The 21,850-nt window shown below is 43.9% G+C and overlaps 9 annotated features.

Annotated features, from left to right (window-relative positions):
• Positions 2,215-2,715: an enhancer, noted in NCBI's record as "H3K27ac hESC enhancer chr3:186597846-186598346 (GRCh37/hg19 assembly coordinates)". NCBI's record gives its function as "activates a minimal SCP1, AML or CMV promoter by ChIP-STARR-seq in naive H9 embryonic stem cells {active_cell/tissue: H9 hESC(naive)}" and the evidence as "EXISTENCE:reporter gene assay evidence [ECO:0000049][PMID:30033119]".
• Positions 2,716-3,216: an enhancer, noted in NCBI's record as "H3K27ac hESC enhancer chr3:186598347-186598847 (GRCh37/hg19 assembly coordinates)". NCBI's record gives its function as "activates a minimal SCP1, AML or CMV promoter by ChIP-STARR-seq in naive H9 embryonic stem cells {active_cell/tissue: H9 hESC(naive)}" and the evidence as "EXISTENCE:reporter gene assay evidence [ECO:0000049][PMID:30033119]".
• Positions 8,668-9,631: an enhancer, noted in NCBI's record as "OCT4-NANOG-H3K27ac hESC enhancer chr3:186604299-186605262 (GRCh37/hg19 assembly coordinates)". NCBI's record gives its function as "activates a minimal SCP1, AML or CMV promoter by ChIP-STARR-seq in naive H9 embryonic stem cells {active_cell/tissue: H9 hESC(naive)}" and the evidence as "EXISTENCE:reporter gene assay evidence [ECO:0000049][PMID:30033119]".
• Positions 9,632-10,594: an enhancer, noted in NCBI's record as "OCT4-NANOG-H3K27ac hESC enhancer chr3:186605263-186606225 (GRCh37/hg19 assembly coordinates)". NCBI's record gives its function as "activates a minimal SCP1, AML or CMV promoter by ChIP-STARR-seq in naive H9 embryonic stem cells {active_cell/tissue: H9 hESC(naive)}" and the evidence as "EXISTENCE:reporter gene assay evidence [ECO:0000049][PMID:30033119]".
• Positions 15,402-15,921: an enhancer, noted in NCBI's record as "OCT4-NANOG-H3K27ac hESC enhancer chr3:186611033-186611552 (GRCh37/hg19 assembly coordinates)". NCBI's record gives its function as "activates a minimal SCP1, AML or CMV promoter by ChIP-STARR-seq in primed H9 embryonic stem cells {active_cell/tissue: H9 hESC(primed)}" and the evidence as "EXISTENCE:reporter gene assay evidence [ECO:0000049][PMID:30033119]".
• Positions 16,963-17,483: an enhancer, noted in NCBI's record as "NANOG-H3K27ac hESC enhancer chr3:186612594-186613114 (GRCh37/hg19 assembly coordinates)". NCBI's record gives its function as "activates a minimal SCP1, AML or CMV promoter by ChIP-STARR-seq in primed H9 embryonic stem cells {active_cell/tissue: H9 hESC(primed)}" and the evidence as "EXISTENCE:reporter gene assay evidence [ECO:0000049][PMID:30033119]".
• Positions 19,046-19,566: an enhancer, noted in NCBI's record as "NANOG-H3K27ac-H3K4me1 hESC enhancer chr3:186614677-186615197 (GRCh37/hg19 assembly coordinates)". NCBI's record gives its function as "activates a minimal SCP1, AML or CMV promoter by ChIP-STARR-seq in primed H9 embryonic stem cells {active_cell/tissue: H9 hESC(primed)}" and the evidence as "EXISTENCE:reporter gene assay evidence [ECO:0000049][PMID:30033119]".
• Positions 19,567-20,086: an enhancer, noted in NCBI's record as "NANOG-H3K27ac hESC enhancer chr3:186615198-186615717 (GRCh37/hg19 assembly coordinates)". NCBI's record gives its function as "activates a minimal SCP1, AML or CMV promoter by ChIP-STARR-seq in primed H9 embryonic stem cells {active_cell/tissue: H9 hESC(primed)}" and the evidence as "EXISTENCE:reporter gene assay evidence [ECO:0000049][PMID:30033119]".
• Positions 20,087-20,607: an enhancer, noted in NCBI's record as "H3K27ac hESC enhancer chr3:186615718-186616238 (GRCh37/hg19 assembly coordinates)". NCBI's record gives its function as "activates a minimal SCP1, AML or CMV promoter by ChIP-STARR-seq in primed H9 embryonic stem cells {active_cell/tissue: H9 hESC(primed)}" and the evidence as "EXISTENCE:reporter gene assay evidence [ECO:0000049][PMID:30033119]".

Here is a 21,850-nt window from a genome sequence, read left to right on the forward strand (position 1 = left end):
TTGACCTTGTGATCCACCCACCTTGGCCTCCCAAAGTTCTGTGATTACAGGCATGAGCCACCACACCAGGCCGGAGATAGATCTATCTATCTATCTATCTATCTATCTATCTATCTATCTATCTATCATCTATCTATCTATTTATTTTTTTGAGACGGAGTCTCCCTCTGTCGCCCAGGTTGGAGCGCGGTGGCATGATTTCGGCTCACTGCAACCTCTGCCTCCTGGGTTCAAGCGATTCTCCTGCCTCAGCCTCCTGAGTAGCTGGGACTACAGGCATGTGCCACCATGCCCAGCTAATTTTGTATTTTTAGTAGAGATGGGGTTTCACCATGTTGGTCAGGATGGTCTCCATCTCTTGACCTCGTGATCTGCCCATCTCGGCCTCCCAAAGTGCTGGGATTACAGGTGGAAATCTTTATTTCGATGCAGAGATGGTTACATGGGAATTTACACTTTTCAAAGCTTATTGCCTCATATGCTTAAAACGTGTGTATTTTATTGTATGTAAATTACACTTCAATAAACTCGATTAAAAACACAATGAAGTACACAACAATGTGAGTGTACTTAATGCCACTGAAAACTTAAGAGTGGTTAAAATGCTAAATTTTGTGTTATGTATGTTTTACCACAATAAAAAAAAATGAGATATATTTTTCTTTTTCTTTTTTTTTTTTTCTGAGACGGAGTCTGGCTCTGTCGGCTAGGCTAGAGTGCACTGGCGCAATCTTGGCTCACTGCAACCTCTGCCTCCTGGGTTCAAGTGATTCTCCTGCCTCAGCCTCCTGAGCAGCTGGGATTATAGGCACATACTGCCATGCCTGGCTAATTTTTGTATTTTAGTAGAGACAGGGTTTCACCACGTTGGCCAGGCAGGTCTAGAACTCCTGACCTCAGGTGATCCGCCTGCCTTGGCCTCCCAAAGTGCTGGGATTACAGGCATGAGCCACCGCATCCAGCCTGATATACATTTTTCTAATATTATGATATGTAATTAAAAATTTCAAAAAGACATAAAAATAGAACCATACAATTATTCTCTTTATATCCATTCTGCATTATCTAGATTTAACCATTATTAAAGCAAATATGGTGAAATTTTTACAATGTACAATTTTAACAATATACACATACCCTGGAGAAAACTATTAAATTTATAATTATATTTATTATAATTATTAAATTTATCAATATCTATTACATTTTTATACCTGTATAAATTAACAATAATTCATTAATATTATCTTTTATCTGCCCAATGCTCAAACTTTCCCAGTCGCCAAATTTCTCTTCTATCCCAATTAGGATTTAATCAAAAAGTGTGTTTTGTTTTGTCCTTTTAGTCTCATTTAATCTAACACAGTTACCTTCCTCCTTTATGATACTGATTTTCTAAAGTCATCACAGCGGATATGGAAAGTCCTGTATTCTGGCTTTGTCTGTTTCCTCATAGTAACAGTCACCTTGCTACTTGATCCCATTTACCTTCTTGTAAAGTGGAAGCTTCTCCTGGAGCTTGATTAATTCGGGTTATAATTTCTGACAAGAATTATTCTATAGGTAAATCCATGATAATTAATATTGCATTACATCAGGGGACCCATAATGCCAGATAGTCTTATTGTTAGTGATGTCAAATTTGGTCACTCAGCTAAGGTGGTGACAGACAGATCTCTCCATTGTAGTGGTCCATTTTTCTTTTTGCAATTTACAAGCAATAGTTTTTGCATCCACCAATGATCATTTGTTCCTTTTAAACCCACTAGATTGGCAAAAATTTTAAAAATCTGATAATACCAAGGGTTAACATAAGTGTAAAGTCATTATTAATTGCTGGTAGGAGTGTAAGTTGATCAAATCACTTTGGAAATCCATTTCATATTATCTGCCAGAGCTGAAGAGGCTTATAGTTTACAATCCATTCTATCTTCCACCATTTTAAGAGAAACTCTCACGCAGGTGTACAAGGAGACACACACAATAATTTTTATAGCAGATTGTTTTGTAAGAGCAAAACTTGGAAACAACCCAAATGTGCATCAAAAAAGGAATGAATAAAGTTTTATATAGTCAAACAATAGGATACTGTAAAATAGTAATATTGAATGGCCTAAAGCCACAAACATCAGTCTGATGAATCTCACAATCATTACACACACACACACACTCTCTCTCTCTAGGAGGAAACATGCAAGGCTTTTGATAAAGATGCTGAAATTAACACATGTATTTGCCTCTGCTGTTTCTCCAAACTCCACTAAAACAACAGCAAATTTTTTTAAAAAGCATAAATGTTTGCACAAAAGCAAATGAAGAAGAGGGTAGACAGGGGCAATAACAACTTGCAGGCATAACTAATGATAATGATTTAGCAGACTGAAAAAGTTACTCTTAAGCTGGCAGGGAAAATGCAAAGAAGTACTATATATGTTTCCCAAAACACACAAAAGTTTCAGGAATTGGCAGCACCAAGTATCTCTTGCAATAGGAGTAAATATGGGCTTAAAAAAGACAAGTTGGTTTCAATTCTACTCTAAACCTGCAGCATGATGACTGTCCCTCTCTAGTCTGGCAGAAGATTGAGAGGGTAAAACAAAGGGCTCGGGTGTAGGACTGGAAAAGTGGTGGTTATAGCACTAATTTAGCATTGGACAGGTAGGGTGCTGGATCCTAGGAGGCCTGTGAAAATAGCTTAGGTATTCAACAATGGGTACAGCCACGGAGGCCTACACAGATTCAACAGATTGGTAGAAAGGAGGAAACAAACATAACAGAAATGCAAAGAGAAAAAGAAGGTACAGTGAGAGTGAGTGAGAGAGAGAATGATTTGCAGATGTGAGGTAAGATTTCAGAGGTGAAGTTCTAGTGATGACCAAGCCCTTGGTTTCTCTTCGAGGAAATCTTGCTGAGAAACATGCCCCTAAAAACAGCTTTGATGCCTTGTGATTAGGGGCGATGGCTTTCATTATTTTCCTCCACTCTCAATAAGCGCCAACAGAAAAAAGCTACTCCAGAATCTTCTTTGTTGCAATATGAGGCAGAATGAACAAAATTGCAACAGCTACTGTTATAATAGGAAGCAACATGGTGTAAGATGTAGTTTTAACAAGTAGAAGAGGCCCTGGTGCATCTGATTTGCCCTCTCTGAGTGCCAGAGCGTTAGCTACCATTGTCAGGAAGCCTGTCTCGTGCGTCTTGACTTTCCCAACATCTAGAGGACTTCTTTAACCTAATGAGATGAAGATGAGCTGAGAATGACATCTTGAAAAGATCTGAGCCAGTAGTTTTCCAAGCGGTTCTCAGACCAGCAGCATCAGCGTGGGAACTTTGTAGAAATGCAAATAATTTGGGATCTATCCCAAACCTATCGAATCAGAAGTTTTTGGGGTGGAGCCCAGCAATATGTGTTTTTAAAAGCTCTTCAGGTAAGCACACCAAGGTTTGAGAATCACTGACCTGGATGTAATTTTTTATAATTTTTTTAAATTTTTTTGAGTCAGAGTATCCATCACCCAGGCTGGAGTCTAGTGGCGCGATCTCAGCTTACTGCAACCTCCGCCTCCTGGGTTCAAGCAATTCTTGTGCCTCCGCCTCCCAGTAGCTGGAATTACAGATGCACGCAACCACACCCAGATAATTTTTTTTTTTTTTTTTGAGATGGAGTCTCGCTCTGTCACCAGGCTGGAGTGCAGTGGTGCAGTCTTGGCTCACTGCAACCTCTGCCTCCCAGGTTCAGGTGATTCTCCTACTTCAGCCTCCTGAGTAGCTGGGATTACAGGCATGTGCCACCGTACCTGGCTAATTTTTGTACTTTTAGTAGAGACGGGGTTTCACCATGTTGGTCAGGCTGGTCTCGAACTACTGACCTCGTGATCCGCCAGCCTCGGCCTCCCAAAGTGCCAGGATTACAGGCATGAGCCACCGCACCCAGCCAGTTTTTGTATTTTTGTAGTGATGGGGTTTCACCATGTTGGCCAGGCTGGCGTCGAACTCCTGACCTCAAGTGATCTGCCCACCTCAGCCTCCCAAAGTGCTGGGATTACAGATGTGAGCCATCGTGCCCGGCCTAGATGTAATTTTTAGTCAACTTAAGCATGTGTAACCATATGCAATTATGCGCAAACAGTATAAATAGAGCTGATGTTAATCTCTAGCCCCGTTGCCTGGAGTGTTGGTGAAACTCTTTTATTTTGTAATCCTTTTTATATTTTAGTGGATGTTTCTATTGATTCTCTTCTGTACCCGCTGTTTCCTCTTTTATTGGAAGACACTAAAACAATTCAGAAATTTTTATAGGAATGCAGAGGATTCAAAATGTCTGAGTCGTGCTCTTCCAAAGCAAGAATCATGTCATAGCCATCTTTTTTTTTTCTTGTAAGAGCTTTATTGAAATATAGTTTACATACCACACAATTCACCCGTTTAAAGGAATCCCCTCTCCTGCCAGTCAATGCTTTTTGGGTTTCACAGAATTGTGAAACCATCAGTACAACCAATTTTAGACGAATTTTATCATCCCCAAAGGAAACCTCATACCTATCAGCAGCTACTCCTCATTTCCTCTGAAATCCTCCAGTCTTAGCTTTTACTAATCTAGTTTCTGTTCCTATAGATTGCCTAGCCTGGACATTTCATGTAATGCATTACACTATGATGTTTCACGACTGGCTTCTTTCACTTAGTATAATGTTTTGAAGGTTCATCCATGTTATAGCATTTACCAGTACTTTATTTCTTTCAATTGCTTAATACTCCCTTATGTGGATACACAGTAGTTTCCTCTTATCTGGGGGGCATATGTTCCGAGTTCTCCAGGGAATGCTTGAAACCACAGATAGCACCAAATCCTATATATACTATGTTTTTTTCTATATATAGATACTTAGGATAAAGTTTAATTTATAAATTATAAGATAAAAATAGAAATAAAAATAAATTAGGCTCAGTAAGATATTAACAACAGCAATAACTAAATAGAACAATTCATAAAAATATGCCAGCATCACTGCTTTTGTGCTTTAGGGCCATTATCAAGAAAAATATGGGTGACTTGAATACAAGAACTGTGATACTGTAACTGTCAATCTGATAGTTACTAAGTGACTAATGGTGTTATAGAGAACATAGATGCACAGGACAAAGGGATGATTCACTTCCTGGGAAGGATGGAGTGGGATGACATAAGATTTTATCATGCTACTCAGAACAAGACACAGTTTCAAACTTTTTTTTTTTTTTTTTGAGACAGCGTTTCCACTCTGTCACCCAGGCTGGAGCACAGTGGCTCAGTCTCTGCTCACTGCAACCTCTGCCTCCCAGGTTCAAGCAATCCTCCCGCCTCAGCCCCGCAAGCAGCTGGGACCACAGGCATGCGCCACCATGCCTGGCTACTTTTTGTATATTTTGTAGAGATGAGGTTTCACCAAGTTGGCTAAGCTGGTTTTGAACTCTGGGCCTCAAGTGATCTGCCTGTCTTGGCTTCCCAAAATGCTGGGATTACAGGAGTGAGCCACTGCACCTGGCCTGCACAATTTAAAACTCATAAATTGTTTATTTCTGGAGTTTTTCATTTCACATTTTCCCAATGCAATTGACTGTATGTAACTGAAACTGCAGAAGGTGAAACTGCGGATGAGAAGAAGCACTACTGTACTACATTACATTTGTCCATTCATTAGTTGATGGACATTTGGGTTGTTTTCACTTTGGGACTATTATGAATAATGCTGCTAAGAGCATTTGTGTACAAGTTTTTGTGTATGCATATATTTTCATTTCTCTGGGTATACATACACCTAGGAATGGTAACTATGTTTAACATTTCGAAGAACTACCAGGCTGTTTTCCAAAGTCACAAGACACGATTTCAAGATTTTTCTTTTTCTTTGAGACAGATTCTCCACTCTGTCACCCAGGCATTGTACCATTTTACCTTCCTGGCATCAGTGCATGAGAGTTTCAGTTTCTCTACATTCTCATCAACATTTGCTCTTATCTGTCTTTTAAATTATAACCATCCTAGTGGGTGTGAAGTGATATCTGATTGTGGTTTTGATTTGCAGTTCCTTGAGAACTAATGATGTTGAGCATTATTTTTGTGGTTACTGACCATTTGTGTATCTTCTTTGCAGAAGTGCCAATTTAGATTCTTGCTTTTATTTGTTTATTTAGTTAGTTTTCAAGACAGAGTCTCTCTCTGTCTCCCAGGCTGGAGTGCAATGGCTTGATCACGGATCACTGCAGCCTTGTCTTCCCAGGCTCAAGCAATCCTCTTGCCTCAGCCTCCCTAGTAGCTGGGACTACAGGTGTGTATCACCACGCCAGGCTAATTTTTGTATTTTTTGTAGAGACAGGGTTTTGCCACGTTGCCCAGGCTGGTCTCAAACTCTTCGGCTCAAGCCATCTGCCCATCTTGACCTCCTAAAGTGCTGGGATTACAAGGCTTCAGCCACCACTCCCAGCCTGCTAAGAGTTTTATGGTTTCACCTCTTATGTTTAGGTCTTTTATTTTATTTTATTTTATTTTTTAATTGATCATTCTTGGGTGTTTCTTGCAGAGGGGGATTTGGCAGGGTCATAGGACAATAGTGGAGGGAAGGTCAGCAGATAAACAAGAGAACAAAGGTCTCTGGTTTTCCTAGGGAGTGGTGATGACTCTTAACGAGCATGCTGCCTTCAAGCATCTGTTTAACAAAGCACATCTTGCACCGCCCTTAATCCATTTAACCCTGAGTGGACACAGCACATGTTTCAGAGAGCACAGGGTTGGGGGTAAGGCCACAGATCAACAGGATCCCAAGGCAGAAGAATTTTTCTTAGTACAGAACAAAGTGAAAAGTCTCCCATGTCTACTTCTTTCTACACAGACACAGCAACCATCCGATTTCTCAATCTTTTCCCCACCTTTCCCCCTTTTCTATTCCACAAAACCGCCATTGTCATCATGGCCCGTTCTCAATGGGCTGTTGGGTTCACCTCCCAGACGGGGTGGTGGCCGGACAGAGGGGCTCCTCACTTCCCAGTAGGGGCGGCCGGGCAGAGGCGCCCCTCACCTCCCGGACGGGGCGGCTGGCCGGGTGGGGGGCTGACCCCCACCTCCCTCCCGGACGGGGCGGCTGCCGGGCGGAGACGCTCCTCACTTCCCAGACGGGGTGGCTGCTGGGCGGAGGGGCTCCTCACTTCTCAGACGGGGCGGCCGGGCAGAGACGCTCCTCACCTCCCAGATGGGGCGGCGGGGCAGAGGGGCTCCTCACATCCCAGAGGATGGGCGGCCAGGCAGAGACGCTCCTCACTTCCCAGACGGCGTGGCAGCTGGGCAGAGGCTGCAATCTCGGCACTTTGGGAGGCCAAGGCAGGTGGCTGGGAGGTGGAGGTTGTAGCGAGCCGAGATCACGCCACTGTACTCCAGCCTGGGCAACATTGAGCACTGAGTGAACAAGACTCCGTCTGCAATCCTGGCACCTCAGGAGGCCGAGGCTGGCGGATCACTCGCGGTCAGGAGCTGGAGACCAGCCCGGCCAACAGCGAAACCCCGTCTCCACCAAAAAAATACGAAAACCAGTCAGGTGTGGCGGCGCGTGCCTGCAATCGCAGGCACTCGGCAGGCTGAGGCAGGAGAATCAGGCAGGGAGGTTGCAGTGAGCCGAGATGGCAGCAGTCCAGTCCAGCCTCAGCTAGGCATCAGAGGGAGACCGTGGAAAGAGAGGGAGAGGGAGACCGTGGGGAGAGGCAGAGGCAGGGGCAGGGGCAGGGGCAGGGGCAGGGGCAGAGGCAGAGGCAGAGGCAGACTGTTTAGGTCTTTAATGGGAGAGGGAGACTGTTTAGGTCTTTAATCCATTTTGAGTTAACTTTTGTGTGTGGTATAAGGTAAGAGTCCAACTTCATTCTTTTGGATGTACATATCCAATTGTTTCAGCACCATTTATTGAATTGTCTTAGCACTTCTGCTAAAAATCAATTGACTCTAAATGTGAGATCTATTTCTAGACTCTCAGTTCTATTCCATTGATCTATATGTCTATCCTTTTGTCAGTGATACTCTGTCTTGATACTGAAACTTGGTAGTAAGTTGTGAAATTAGAAAATGAGTCCTTCAACTTTGTTCTTCTTTAAAATTGTTTTGACTCTTTGGGGTCCCTTGCAATTCCATATGAATTCCTGTTCCCCCACCCTGAGAAACACATAGTTTCTCAGACCACAGCCATTCCTTATTGACCCACTAGCATAGAATAAATTAGTAACTTCCAGTTGCAATCATTATGGACGATTATTGACCCAGTCCTCAAATCAGAAAGGTCCGGGTGGGTAAGGGGCTCCTATTACTGATGAGGAGTGGACATAGACTGGGTCCCAGGGTCACTGTCCTGAGCATGGTAAGAATGAACTTGAGCACGACTCATGGGGCTGTCTGTGGAGCAGATTCCCTCCCCATAAGACAGAGGCCAGATACAGAGCAACCAACCCAGCACAGAAACCCCTCAGTGTGGGGATGCAGAACAAACCTCCAGGAATTCCTGCATTCTGGGGAATATGTGCCCTGGCAGCTTTGAAACAAGGGAATGACATCATACTAGACAACCTAAAGTAGTTCCCTCTTCAAAACCTCTGAAAGAGTTGAATAAAATATCGTCCACATTCTTTTAAATGCACACCTGAACTAACAGAAAAGTGAAGAAAATCACCAGGGGCCAAAAATAGAGAGAGAGGTAACTGGAGCAATCATTATGGGCTCGGGCTAAGGCTGTCTTGGGGCCTTGGTCTCAGCAACCCAGGGGCATGGCTTTTAACACATTACAATGCAAGGAGTAAGGAACTTGTGCCCTGATGAAGTGAGAATTCAGAACATAATAAGAGTGGACTAGAAAGCAATGCTCTTCCCACCCTCATCCTAGAAAAAAAACAAAGCAACTCATTTGTTTCAGCCTGTGTCTGGGTAAAGGAAAAAAAAGAGTCTCCTGAGCATTTGCAACACAAGCCCAGTACTCCTGGGGATCAAGGGTGTGGGTTCCCGCTTCCCAGGGTGGGTAGTTGAAGGGGTGGGTTGCCCCTCCACACCTGTGGGTGTTTCTCTTAAGGTGGAACGAGAGACTTGGAAAAGAAAAAGACACAGAGACAAAGTATAGAGAAAGAAATAAGGGGACCCGGGGAACCAGCGTTCAGCATATGGAGGATCCTGCCAGCCTCTGAGTTCCCTTAGTATTTATTCATCATTCGTGGGTGTTTCTCTGAGAGGGGGATGTGTCAGGGTCACAAGACAATAGTGGGGAGGGGGTCAGCAGACAAACACGTGAACAAAGGTCTTTGCATCATAGACAAGGTAAAGGATTAAGTGCTGTGCTTTTAGATATGCATACACATAAACATCTCAATGCTTTACAAAGCAGTATTGCTGCCCGCATGTCCCACCTCCAGCCCTAAGGCGGTTTTTCCCTATCTCAGTAGATGGAACATACAATCAGGTTTTATACCGAGACATTCCATTGCCCAGGGACGGGCAGGAGACAGATGCCTTCCTCTTGTCTCAACTGCAAGAGGCATGCCTTCCTCTTATACTAATCCTCCTCAGCACAGACCCTTTACGGGTGTCGGGCTGGGGGAGGGTCAGGTCTTTCCCTTCCCACGAGGCCATATTTCAGACTATCACACGGGGAGAAACCTTGGACAATACCTGGCTTTCTTAGGCAGAGGTCCCTGCGGCCTTCCGCAGTTTTTGTGTCCCTGGGTACTTGAGATTAGGGAGTGGTGATGACTCTTAACGAGCATGCTGCCTTCAAGCATCTGTTTAACAAAGCACATCTTGCACCGCCCTTAATCCATTTAACCCTGAGTTTGACACAGCACATGTTTCAGAGAGCACGGGGTTGGGGGTAAGGTCACAGAATCTCAAGGCAGAAGAATTTTTCTTAGTACATAACAAAATGGAGTCTCCCATGTCTACTTCTTTCTACACAGACACAGTGACAATCTGATCTCTCTTGCTTTTCCCCACAGGTAGTCCTTGAACCAATAACTTGAAAGTAAAAATTAGTCCCTGATCATTTGCTTGGCAACAATTTTAAAGTGTAATAATGAACATGGGAGAAGAGGTGTAGAGCCTCAGGATCTTTCACACACTGCTAGTGAAAATATAAATTTGTGCAGTCACTTTGGAAAACGGTTTGTCATGACCATTACCTCCTAAAGTTGAACATTTACACACTCTATATGACACAGAAGCTCCTTTTGAAGGTGAATGCCCAAGATAGTTGCCCATGAACAACAGGAGATATAAGATGTATATGAATGTTCATAGCAGCATTCCTCACAATAGCAGACATCTGAAGAATCAAAATATCCCTCAGTGGGATAAGGAACAACATAAACTTAGTGAAATTCATGCAATTAAATATTATACAGGAGTCAAAATGAATGAACTGTAGTGACATGCAGTAACATAAATGAATCTTAGCAATATAATATTAAATGAAAAGAGCAAATCCTGAAAGATTATAGATCATACATAGCATAATACCCTGTGAGTTATTTAGGAATATATATACATATATATTTCTTTGCACATATATATATTTCTTTGCATATATACATATTTATGTATATATACATATATAGAAGAATTCATGAGAATCAGAATTCCATCCCCTTTGGTAATTTATTGTTTTGTCCTAAATGCTCCTTCTTGAGGGCTTTGTTTCTAAGAGTACTCTTTGTTTTTAATATGAAGTATGGTGCCATCAACGTGAATATGCACCACCATGCTCTCTCCCCCACAGGACTGCGCCAGTGCCTACAAGCTCCCCATTAGACCCTTATCTCTTCCAGTCAGATGTTGACATTGCCAGTTCCTCCTTGGAACCTTTATTACTTCTATTTATATCATTGCGGCTGTGTATGAACGTGAATTCTAACCCAGTTATGGGCAGAGGGGAGGGGTTGGAATGAAGAGTCTTCGAGCAGGGGGAAGGGTGAAAAGAGACTGACAATTCAAACATGTACAGGGTGATTTAGGGACAGGGTACTAAAGAATAGAGTACAGGAAACCTGACACCTTGCAGATGTAACGAGAGACAGGATTCAGGGTAAGATTTCTTTTTTGTAAATTCAATGAGGCCTCCCTTCCCTGGCCACCTCTGCCTGCTTCAATATCTACCTCCTTAAAGTCGCCTCTTACTGTGCTTATTGTTATATTTACTCATAATATCCTTGGGACACTTTTTTCACTGTGGTCCTGAGCTGTTATTGAGGTGATAAATTGCTGAACTTTTCGCCAATTTATATCTCTGATTTCCAGTTAAATCATAAGAAAAGTGTCCTTAAGTAATATGCTCATTCATCCATTCAGCTTAGTCCATTCATTATTACAGCCTCAAGTGCTGTAGGGACTTCAGAAATTTTCTTGTCCAACCATCTCATTTTATAAATGAAAAGGTGAGGCTTAAATTGGAGGACTGACTTATAGTAGGATCTACAGGGGTAGTTCTTGGCACGCACAAAATGTCAGCTACTGGTGACACTGAATAGATCTGACATCCTCAGTGACCAGATGAAACATTCAATGTTATCTTCTCCAATGACAAGAATCTACAGTACAGCAAAGTAACCTGAATGGACATACTATAGTCACTTTTGTGGAGTAGCAGATAAAAGGGGCTATTTCCTAACATACGCCAAACCTAGAGGGCAGCCCAAGTCCTTGGGGGGTCACAATAATAAGTCCATGTTTCTAAGAGCCCAGGGAGAATCCTTCAGATCCTGACTTCATCACAAAAACATCACAAAACAAGAGGGAAGGAAAACATACCAATGATCATCTCATTGACATCTCCATTGTCACTCACCAAGAGGGAGATGCTGCCCACTCTGCATAGGACAAATCTGGGAGGCTTGAGGTTGAGGAAGATGTGAGGAATAATCTTCTTCTTCTTCTTCTTCTTCTTCTTCTTCCTCTTCTTCTTCTTCTTCCTCTTCTTCCTCTTCCTCTTCCTCTCCCTCTCCCTCTCCTTCTTCTTCCTCTTCTCCTTCTCCTTTTCCTTCTCCTCCTTCTTCTTCTTCTTCCTCCTCTTCCTCTTCCTCTCCTTCTCCTTCTCTTCCTTCTTCTTCTTGTTCCTCCTCTTCCTCTTCCTCTTCTCCTTCTCCCTCTCCTTCTTTTTTTTTTTTTGAGACACAGTCTCGCTCTGTCGCCCAGGCTGGAGTGCAATGGCACAATCTCAGCTCACTGCAACCTCCACCTCCCGGGTTCAGGCGATTGATTCTCCTACGTCAGCCTCCCAAGTAGCTGGGACTACAGGCATGTGCCACCACACCCGGCTAATTTTTGTATTTTTAGTAGAGATGGGGTTTCACCACGTTGGTCAGGCTGGTCTTGAACTCCTGACCTCAAGTGACCCACCTGCCTCGGCTTCCCAAAGTGCTGGGATTACAGGTGTGAGCCACAGCACCCAATCTGGAATAAAACTTCTTAAATTGAAACTTGTACCAAGATGGCGAGAGGAATGGAGTCTAAGAGGCAATGAATAGAAGTTGTTCTTTCTCAGGAAGACCTGGCCAGCTTGGGGTCAGTTCAACAGTCACCTGATCAATTAAAACATGTCATAACACCAAAAATATAATAACCTTGATGTTATACATAAATATACAAGGTTGTCCATTGTAGCAATGTTTGTATAACAGCTTAAATGTCCATAATAGAGAATTAGCCAATGAATTCTAGTACCTTTAGAATGAAATGCTATGTAGGCAGTAGTCAGGAGGCAGTAGACAATAATGCAGTTCTATATTCATAGGCTTGAAAAATTTCTATGAAGTATTTTTTAGTGAAAAATATTATCATTTACATAAAACCTTTAGATACTATGTAATTTATATATAGTATATGAATACATATAATTAACATTTTATGTGTGTGTGTAATGTTTAGGGTGTATGTTTAGGGAGAACTCTGCAAAGACTACTAACAAAATATTTGCAGTGGTTACTTCTGGGGGTTAGTATTTTGTTCTTTTAAATTTTTTCATAGTGTTCTGTATTGCTTGACTTTTCTATACAATGTTTTCTGTTATAATCAGAAAAATCAATAAAGGTATTTTAAAGTCATTTTGCTTTGTCTTATCTCTCTTTGTGAGAGCATATTGCTTGAAGAGAGGGAAGTCCAGAGAGGAGTAAGGGTGGGTCATACCTGTGGGTGCTGGAGCAAAGCCTGGGCTTATATGCCAGAAGTAGGTGTGATCACTGCCATTTACAGACCTTTATAAGGAGGCTGGGGCTGTCCAACCACATTCTTTCCCACTTTCCATTCAATGTCCTACCAGACTACTTCATATCCCCAGTATGAATGTTGTGAATTTTATGCCTTTTTACCTGCCTAGAGTGGCTTCTTATCTGGCTCACTTTCATCCATACTTCAAGTATCACCTCCACTTTAAAACCTTCCTGGGCTCCACCAGGTAGATACAAAATTGCAAATTTTATGTATACATCTGCTAAATGTGCTAGACTGTGACTTTCTCAATGACAACCATGGTGATTATGATTTTAACTGTGGAGAAGCCAGAAGAAGCACACTGTAGTATTAAAGAATAGTCAATACTGAGGCTGGGTGCGGTGGCTCACGCCTGTAATCCCAGCACTTTGGGAGGGTGAGGTGGGCAGATCACGAGGTCAGGAGTTCGAGACCAGCCTGACCAATATGGTGAAACCCTGTCTCTACTAAAAATACAAAAGTTAGCTGGGCATGGTGGTGCACGCCTGTAGTCCCAACTACTCGGGAGGCTGAGGCAAAAGAATCGCTTGAACCTGGGAGGTGGAGGTTGCAGTGAGCCATTGTGCCACTGCACTCCAGCCTGGGCAACAGAGCGAGACTCTGTCTCAAAAAAAAAAAAAAATAGTCAATACTGTGTTTAGCAGGAAGATAAAACATCAAATACTACAGAGTAACAGACAGCTAGGGCCAGGTTAGTGGTTATGCTACCCAGAATTCCATGCAGGGTGGAAGACGAAAAATGCCAAAATTTCAATCATCAAGTTAGATAAAAAAACTTAAACATGTGGAAAGTCACTCAACCTTAAGTACAAGATACTATTTTTCATCAACTATATTGTTAATAATAAACAAGTTTTATGAAGCAACATATTGGTAATGTTATGGAGAAACAGAAACATTTGGACAGGTGCGGTGGCTCATGCCTGTAATCCCAGCACTTTGGGAGACTGAGGTGGGTGGATCTCTTGAGCTCAGGAGTTTGAGACCAGCCTGGGCAACATGACAAAACCCGTTTCTACAAAAAATACAAAGATTAGCAGAGTGTGGTGGCACACGCTTGTATTCCCAGCTACTCAGGAGGCTGAGGTAGGAGGATTGCTTGAGTTTGTGAAGTCAAGGCTACAGTGAGCCAAGATTGTGCCACTGCCCTTCAGCCTGGGTGACAAAGCAAGATCTTGCCTCAAACAAAAACAAAAACAAAACCAGAAGTATTTGCTGGTGGGAGGGTAAATTGGTATAAAGTTTTTGAAAGGCAATTTGGCAATATTTGTCAAAATTTTAAATCTGTTTATTTTTAGCCAAGCAGTTCTACTGAGAATTTAATATCTTACTCATATGCATACACATCTATGAAATGACATGTATGCAAAGTTACTCACTGGAGCATTTTTCTTTGTAATAGCAAATTTTGTAAACAACTTGAAATTCATTAATAAAGAGGGGTCAAGGCTGGGCACGGTGGCTCATGCCGGTAATCCCAGCACTTCGGGAGGCCGAGGCAGGCAGATCACGAGGTCAGGAGATTGAGACCATCCTGGCTAACACGGTGAAACCCCGTCTCTACTGAAAATACAAAAAAAAATTAGCCTGGCGTGGTGGCGGGCGCCTGTAATCCCAGCTACTGAGGGTAGGAGGCTGAGGCAGGAGAATGGTGTGAACCTGGGAGGCAGAGCTTGCAGTGAGCCAAGATCGCGCCACTGCACTCCAGCCTGGGCAACAGTGCGAGACTCCGTCTCTAAAAACAATAAAAAGTAAAATAAAATAAATAAATAAATAAATAAAGAGAGGTCAAATAAATTACCAAACATCCACACAATGGAATATGCTGTAGTCTTTTAAAAAAGTAAAGGTGCTTTAGGTGTACTGATTTGGAATGATCTCTAAGATGCAGCTTAAAATGAAAAAACGCAAAGTGCATAATAGTATTTATAATATGTTAAAAGTTGTGAATATAAAGGGATATATATGTTTCATCCAAAGATATACATAAGTGTATACATAAGTGTATAGTATAAGATACACACTTACATATGTCTTTGGTTGAAGATACACACTCCTGAAGCCCTAGTTAGCTGGGGTTGCTATAACAAAATACTACAGACTGTGTGGCTTAAGAAGATGTGGGGAAAAGCAAGAGAGATCAGATTGTCACTGTGTCTGTGTAGAAAGAAGTAGACATGGGAGACTCCATTTTGTTATGTACTAAGAAAAATTCTTCTGCCTTGAGATTCTGTTAATCTATAACCTTACCCCCAACCCCGTGCTCTCTGAAACATGTGCTGTGTCAACTCAGAGTTAAATGGATTAAGGGCGGTGCAAGATGTGCTTTGTTAAACAGATGCTTGAAGGCAGCATGCTCCTTAAGAGTCATCACCACTCCCTAATCTCAAGTACCCAGGGACACAAAAACTGCCGAAGGCCGCAGGGACCTCTGCCTAGGAAAGCCAGGTATTGTCCAAGGTTTCTCCCCATGTGATAGTCTGAAATATGGCCTCGTGGGAAGGGAAAGACCTGACCATCCCCCAGCCTGACACCCGTAAAGGGTCTGTGCTGAGGAGGATTAGTATAAGAAGAAGGCATGCCTCTTGCAGTTGAGACAAGAGGAAGGCATCTGTCTCCTGCCTGTCCCTGGGCAATGGAATGTCTTGGTATAAAACCCGATTGTACGTTCTATCTACTGAGATAGGGAAAAACCGCCTTAGGGCTGGAGGTGGGACATGCGGGCAGCAATACTGCTTTGTAAAGCATTGAGATGTTTATGTGTATGCATATCTAAAGCACAGCACTTAATCCTTTACCTTGTCTATGATGCAAAGACCTTTGTTCACGTGTTTGTCTGCTAACCCTCTCCCCACTATTGTCTTGTGACCCTGACACATCCCCCTCTCGGAGAAACACCCACGAATGATCAATAAATACTAAGGGAACTCAGAGGCTGGCGGGATCCTCCATATGCTGAACGCTGGTTCCCTGGGCCCCCTTATTTCTTTCTCTATACTTTGTCTCTGTGTCTTTTTCTTTTCCAAGTCTCTCGTTCCACCTTACGAGAAACACCCACAGGTGTGGAGGGGCAACCCACCCCTTCAAGAAGAGAAATTTATTTCTCACAATTCTGGATGAAAGAAATTTGAGACTGAGTTGTCAGCAGGGTTGGTTGGTTTCTTCTGAGGTCTCTTTCCTTGGCATGTTGATGACTGTCTTCTCCCTGTATCTTCACATGGTATCTTCACATGGTCTTCCCTCTGTGTGTGTCTGTATCCTATAATGTCTTCTTCATTTTTTTTTTTTTTTTGAGGCAGAGTCTTGCTCTTGTCCCCCAGGCTGGAGTGCAATGGCTCAATCTTGGCTCACTGCAACCTCCTCCTCTCGGGTTCAAGCGATTCTTCTGCCTCAGCCTCCCAAGTAGCTGGGACCACAGGAGTGTGCCACCAAGCCCAGCTAAGTTTTGTATTTTCAGTAGAGATGGAGTTTCGCCCTGTTGGCCAGGCTGGTCTTTAACTCCTGGCCTCAAGTGATCCACCCGCCTTGGTATCGCAAAGTGCTGGGATTACAGGCGTGAACCCTGTCACCGGACCACAATTTATGCCTTTCTATTACACACTGAGGTCAGAAACTACCGTTTGGGAAGATCCTCTGTCCCTTCATCCTCGTCTGTCTCAGCCTCTAACTGCCTGCCTAGCCACCTTTCTAAAAATAAAAACTGCTTTCTCCTTTTCAGAGGAATTTAATGACTGGGGTGGCTAACTAAGAGCTGTGCTCATCTCAGATAAAGTTCATGGCAGAATCAGATTTTTTTTTTTGAGATGGAGTTTCACTCATTGCCCAGGCTGGAGTGCAATGGCACGATCTCAGCTCACCGCAACCTCCGCCTCCCAGGTTCAAGCGATTCTCCTGCCTCAGCCTCCGAAGTAGCTGGAATTACAGGCACCCGCTGCCGTGCCCGGGTAATTTTTGTATTTTTAGTAGTGATGGTGTTTCACCATGTTAGCCAGGCTGGTCTCGAACTCCTGACCTCAGGTGATCCGCCCATCTCAGCCTCCCAAAGTGCTGGGATTACAGGCGTGAGTTACCGCGCCCAACCTAGACACTTCTTCAAGAATCTGGTTCTAGGTCAGGTGTTGGGAGCAAGCCCCCCAAAATCTGGCCATAAACTGGCCCCAAAACTGGTCATAAATAAAACGCAACATGTCCATAATGGCCATAACACCCAAGCTGGAAGGTTGCAGGTTTACGGGAATGAGGGCAAGGAACACCTGGCCCACCCAGGGCGGAAAACTGCTTAAAGGCATTCTTAAGCCACAAACAAAAGCCTGAGTGATCTGTGTCTTAAGGGCGTGTTCCTGTTGCAATTAAGTAGGCCCAAGTCTTGAGGATTAGCATTCTTGATTTTACGTTATTTGATGCAGAAAGGGAGTCAGATACAATCTATAAGAGCAGGAAATCCCCAAGTATGTTTTAGCAGGGAAGGCATGACACAATTTCTTCAGAAGTAAACTTACCCTCCTAATTATGGATGCCTGGGATTACAATTACAGATAAATAGCATTTCCAAAGACTAAGGTTCTTCCTGCTTCCTTCTCCAAAGCCCTTCTGGCAAAGCTCCCTGAGCCGTAGGTGCTGCAGAGGTGGGTGAGGCAGGCTCGGGGAGCAGGCCTGACCAGAGGCCCAGAGGCGAGAGCAGGACAGAAGTAAGATGCCTTGTCTGTATTCCCCTAGAAGGGAGGGCTTGCCACCCAGCTGCAGGGACTCCAGGGCTCAGCTGCAGGGTCTCCAGGACTCAGTTGATTTGTGCTCTGCCTCAGCTGTAAAGTGGCCCCACACACAGTCATGCCCCCTCCTGGGGCAGCCTGCATCTGGTTGCCGAATGAAGTGGGGACCTAATCTTAGATGCTGACAAGCAATCCTCACTCCCCACCTCTACTAGGGGCTCCTGAGCATTTTGTCAGGCCCGCATCACAGTTCAACTTGTTCCTGGGCCTGATCCTGCTTCTTCCCTTTCCTTTCAGAGGTGCTGATCCTTAATAAGCATATTGTATCCCCAAACTCCTTTTTAATGTCTGCTGGAAAACCCACCCTGTGACAGTGGGTTAGGCGATAGAGAGTAGGCCCAGCTGCAGATATAGAAAGAAGAGGTCTCTCTGGCCAAGTCTAACCCACATCAGCTCTGGGGCCCCGTTTGAGGAAGAGATGTTCTAGCTGGTGGGCAAAGCACAGTGCTGTACACAGAAGGGCCGGTGGTGCTCAGCTCCAGGGGGCCTGTCAAAGGCAATGTGCATCTTAACTGTGATTCTGTTCTGTTCCCCATCATATCCCGATGTAGGCCCTTACCGTATTTCTCCTGAATCATTTTGTAGTCTTCTAATTCTTCTTGTCTTTCACCAGACTGATCTTTCTGAAACCCATATCTGATTATGTCATTCTCTTCCATAAAACCTTTCAAAGACTCCCCTTAAACCTCAGGATCAGGCCCAAATGACTTAACTTGAATTATCATTGCCTTGAGATCTGGCCTTGGTTTGCTGTAAGCTTATCTCTTGCAGCTCTGGACTCAGTCAGCCCCTTTCCCATTTCTCACCATTGCCACTTAATGGTCTGAGGGGGGCTTTTCCTGTTACTGCACGCACCAGAGCCAACAGCTGAAAACAGTAGGCAACAGTACTCTCCCTACTAAAGAGCGCTGCCAACTTAGGCACAACCACCTTCCTGGGGCTTTTTAAGAGTTAGCAGAGCAGCCCTGATGCCCTACCAACCACCACAAACACCCCCCACCACATCCCAAGTCTGGGGAGAATGGAGGCTGGTAGAGTGATGGAGATGGCAAAGGCAGACAGCAGAGTATCCTGAGGACATGGTCTGCCGCATTTCACACTGGAGGGCTGTGCTCTGGGCCAGGCCACTCAGCAGAGGGGCAGACTATTGGGTTGGGAGCAGTGGAGGCGGGAAGATAGCAGAGGTGTGCAATGCCTAACCTTGTTTTTTACTCTAGCTCGCTACTTTAAATTTTCCCTTTTTTTGTCTCCTTAATTCCCAGCCATGTTTCCCATATGAATAGACTCTCCCTGGCTGGGAAAGCCGGATAAACTCCATTTGACCTTTTGATTTACAAGACATTAAGTGCTCCATACCCAACCCCCTTCCTCAAGGAGTTAACCTGTGTAAGCAGATCCTCAGCATTTCATAGGAGCCCAGTTAACTGATAAGGTACTGGAACAAACCATGTATGAAGTTCCCAGGATTTTTCTCAAAGAGATAACAACATAAAGCCTTGAGTTCGTGTCCGGCATAGCATCTATATCTAACTCTAATGAAGGATTTAGAGCCCTGCACCTGGTACCGTTGCTTTTTGTAATCATTTGTCTTTTAAATTGTTTATCTCTCTGTAACCATTTGCTTCTTTTGATTCTTGCATGTTTTTACTTCTGTAGAATTATTGCATTTGAGTTCCCTCCCTTTCCTAAACCAAGGTATAAAAGTTAATCAAGCCCCTTCCTCGGGGCCAAGAGAATTTTGAGCATTAGCCGTCTCTTTGGCCGCCAGCTTAAATAAAGGACTCTTAATTCGTCTCAAAGTGTGGCGTTTTCTCTAACTCGTTTGGGTGTAACAGGTGGACTTCCCATCTGGGAGCACCCAGAAGTGCTCTCATCTGAGCCCATGGCGGACCCAACACCTAAATGCCTGCTACCCCGAGGGCAAGGAGGCCAGGCTGTGTTAGCCAGAGGGTCACAGAGACCACAGAGAGGATCACGACAATGGCTGGTTAGAGAGTGACATTCACCCCATGCCCTTCTCTCTTGTCCACCCCTCACAGGAAGTGCTGGTTGTCATCAGAATTCCAGCTCCAATCTTGATAAGTGAGTTTGAAGGGTTTTTTTGTTTTTTTTTTTTTGAGACAGAGTCTCTCACTCTGTTGTCCAGGCTGGAGTGCAGTGGCGTGATTTCAGCTCACTGCAACCTCCACCTCCTGGGTTCATGCGATTGTCTTGCCTCAGCCTCCCAAGTAGCTGGGACTACAGGCACGCACCACCACGCCCAGATAATTTTTGTATTTTTACTAGAGACAGGGTTTCACCATGTTGGCCAGGATGGTCTTGATTTCTTGACCTCGTGATCCGCCCGCCTCAGCCTCCCAAAGTGTTGGGATTACAGGCATGAGCCACCATGCCTGGCTGAGTCTGAGATTTTAAACTACCTTTTAATAAACTAGAAAGCGGGATCTGAAAGAGGGTGGCTGAAGACAGTAACTCAAAAAGAAAACGATTTTGTGTTTGTGCCCCATCATTATACTTTAGAATGCTGCCATCTTCCTTACACCCCAGCAGGACCACCTGCTTCTCATATCTACTCCAGAAAAGGGTGGCATGTCAGGCAGGAGCCAGCTACACTGTGTCCCTCCAACTAGGAACTTGGATGGGCTAGGGATGCCAGCATTTCTCCCTTCCCTTCGATCTCAGCAGTAACACCAGTTGGCTGAACACTTTCCACTTGCCAGGCAGTGTTTAAATTATTGATGTGTGGCCGGGAGCGGTGGCTCACACCTGTAATCCCAGCACCTGGGGAGGCCAAGGCAGGCAGATCACCTGTGGTCGAGTTTGAGACCAGCCTGGCTAACATAGTGAAACCCTGTCTCTACTAAATATATATAATATATATTATATTTATATGTATTATTTTTGTATATGTATATACTTATGTGTATATATTATATGTGTGTATATATACACACACACAAAATTTAGCTGGGTGTGGTGGCACACGCCTGTTATCCCAGATACCTGGGAGGCTGAGCCATGAGAATTGCTTGAACCAGGGAGGCAAAGGTTGCAGTGAGCTGAGATTGCGCCACTGCACTCCAGCTTGGGCATCAGCTGTCTCAAAATAAAAAAATAAAAAAATAATGAATGTCTGTCCAATTCAAGCTTGTTATTTAAAGAGCAGACCATACCTGCTCCCTGCATGACGTCTCTTACCACCTCTAAAACTGCTGCCAGCCAGGCAGTAATGACACAGTTGGTATCTTTGCAATATTTGCTGATATTGACCCCTCCCTTCTTGAAAATTCTGCCTTATTTGGTTTGTGTGACATCACTCCCTGTGGGGTTTCTCTTCCCACTGAGTACTCTTTTTCAGACCCATAGATTGGTTTCTAGCCAGCTTTCTTGCTATGCCTCCATATTGATATAACCCTGGACTCCATTCTGAGCACTCTTCTCACTTGATTCTCTACCTTAGTAATTGTCTCCTTGACTGGGGCATTAGTTACTGCAGCTATGTGAATTTGATATGTTCAGACAGCCACACTCCAAACCCATAGATCTTTGGCTAATGGTTGGCTCTACCAGAGTGTCCTTCAGGCAACCTAAACTGATCATTTCCAAGGTTGAACATATCATCTCCCATAAAGCCAGTTCTTTTTGACATAACCCAATCAGGAGAATAATTCCTAAGACTGGAACAAGCCTTCTCTCTCTCCCAACCCCACCGATCACTTGCCAAATTCTTTTATTTCTACATTTTTTTTTCTCAGAGATAGGGTCTTGGTCTGTGTCACCCAGGCTGTAGTGCAGTGGTGGTGTCACAGTTCACTGCAGCCTT

The sequence above is a fragment of the Homo sapiens genome, chromosome 3 (assembly GCF_000001405.40).
Source record: "Homo sapiens chromosome 3, GRCh38.p14 Primary Assembly".
In the NCBI taxonomy this organism is placed as follows: domain Eukaryota; kingdom Metazoa; phylum Chordata; class Mammalia; order Primates; family Hominidae; genus Homo; species Homo sapiens.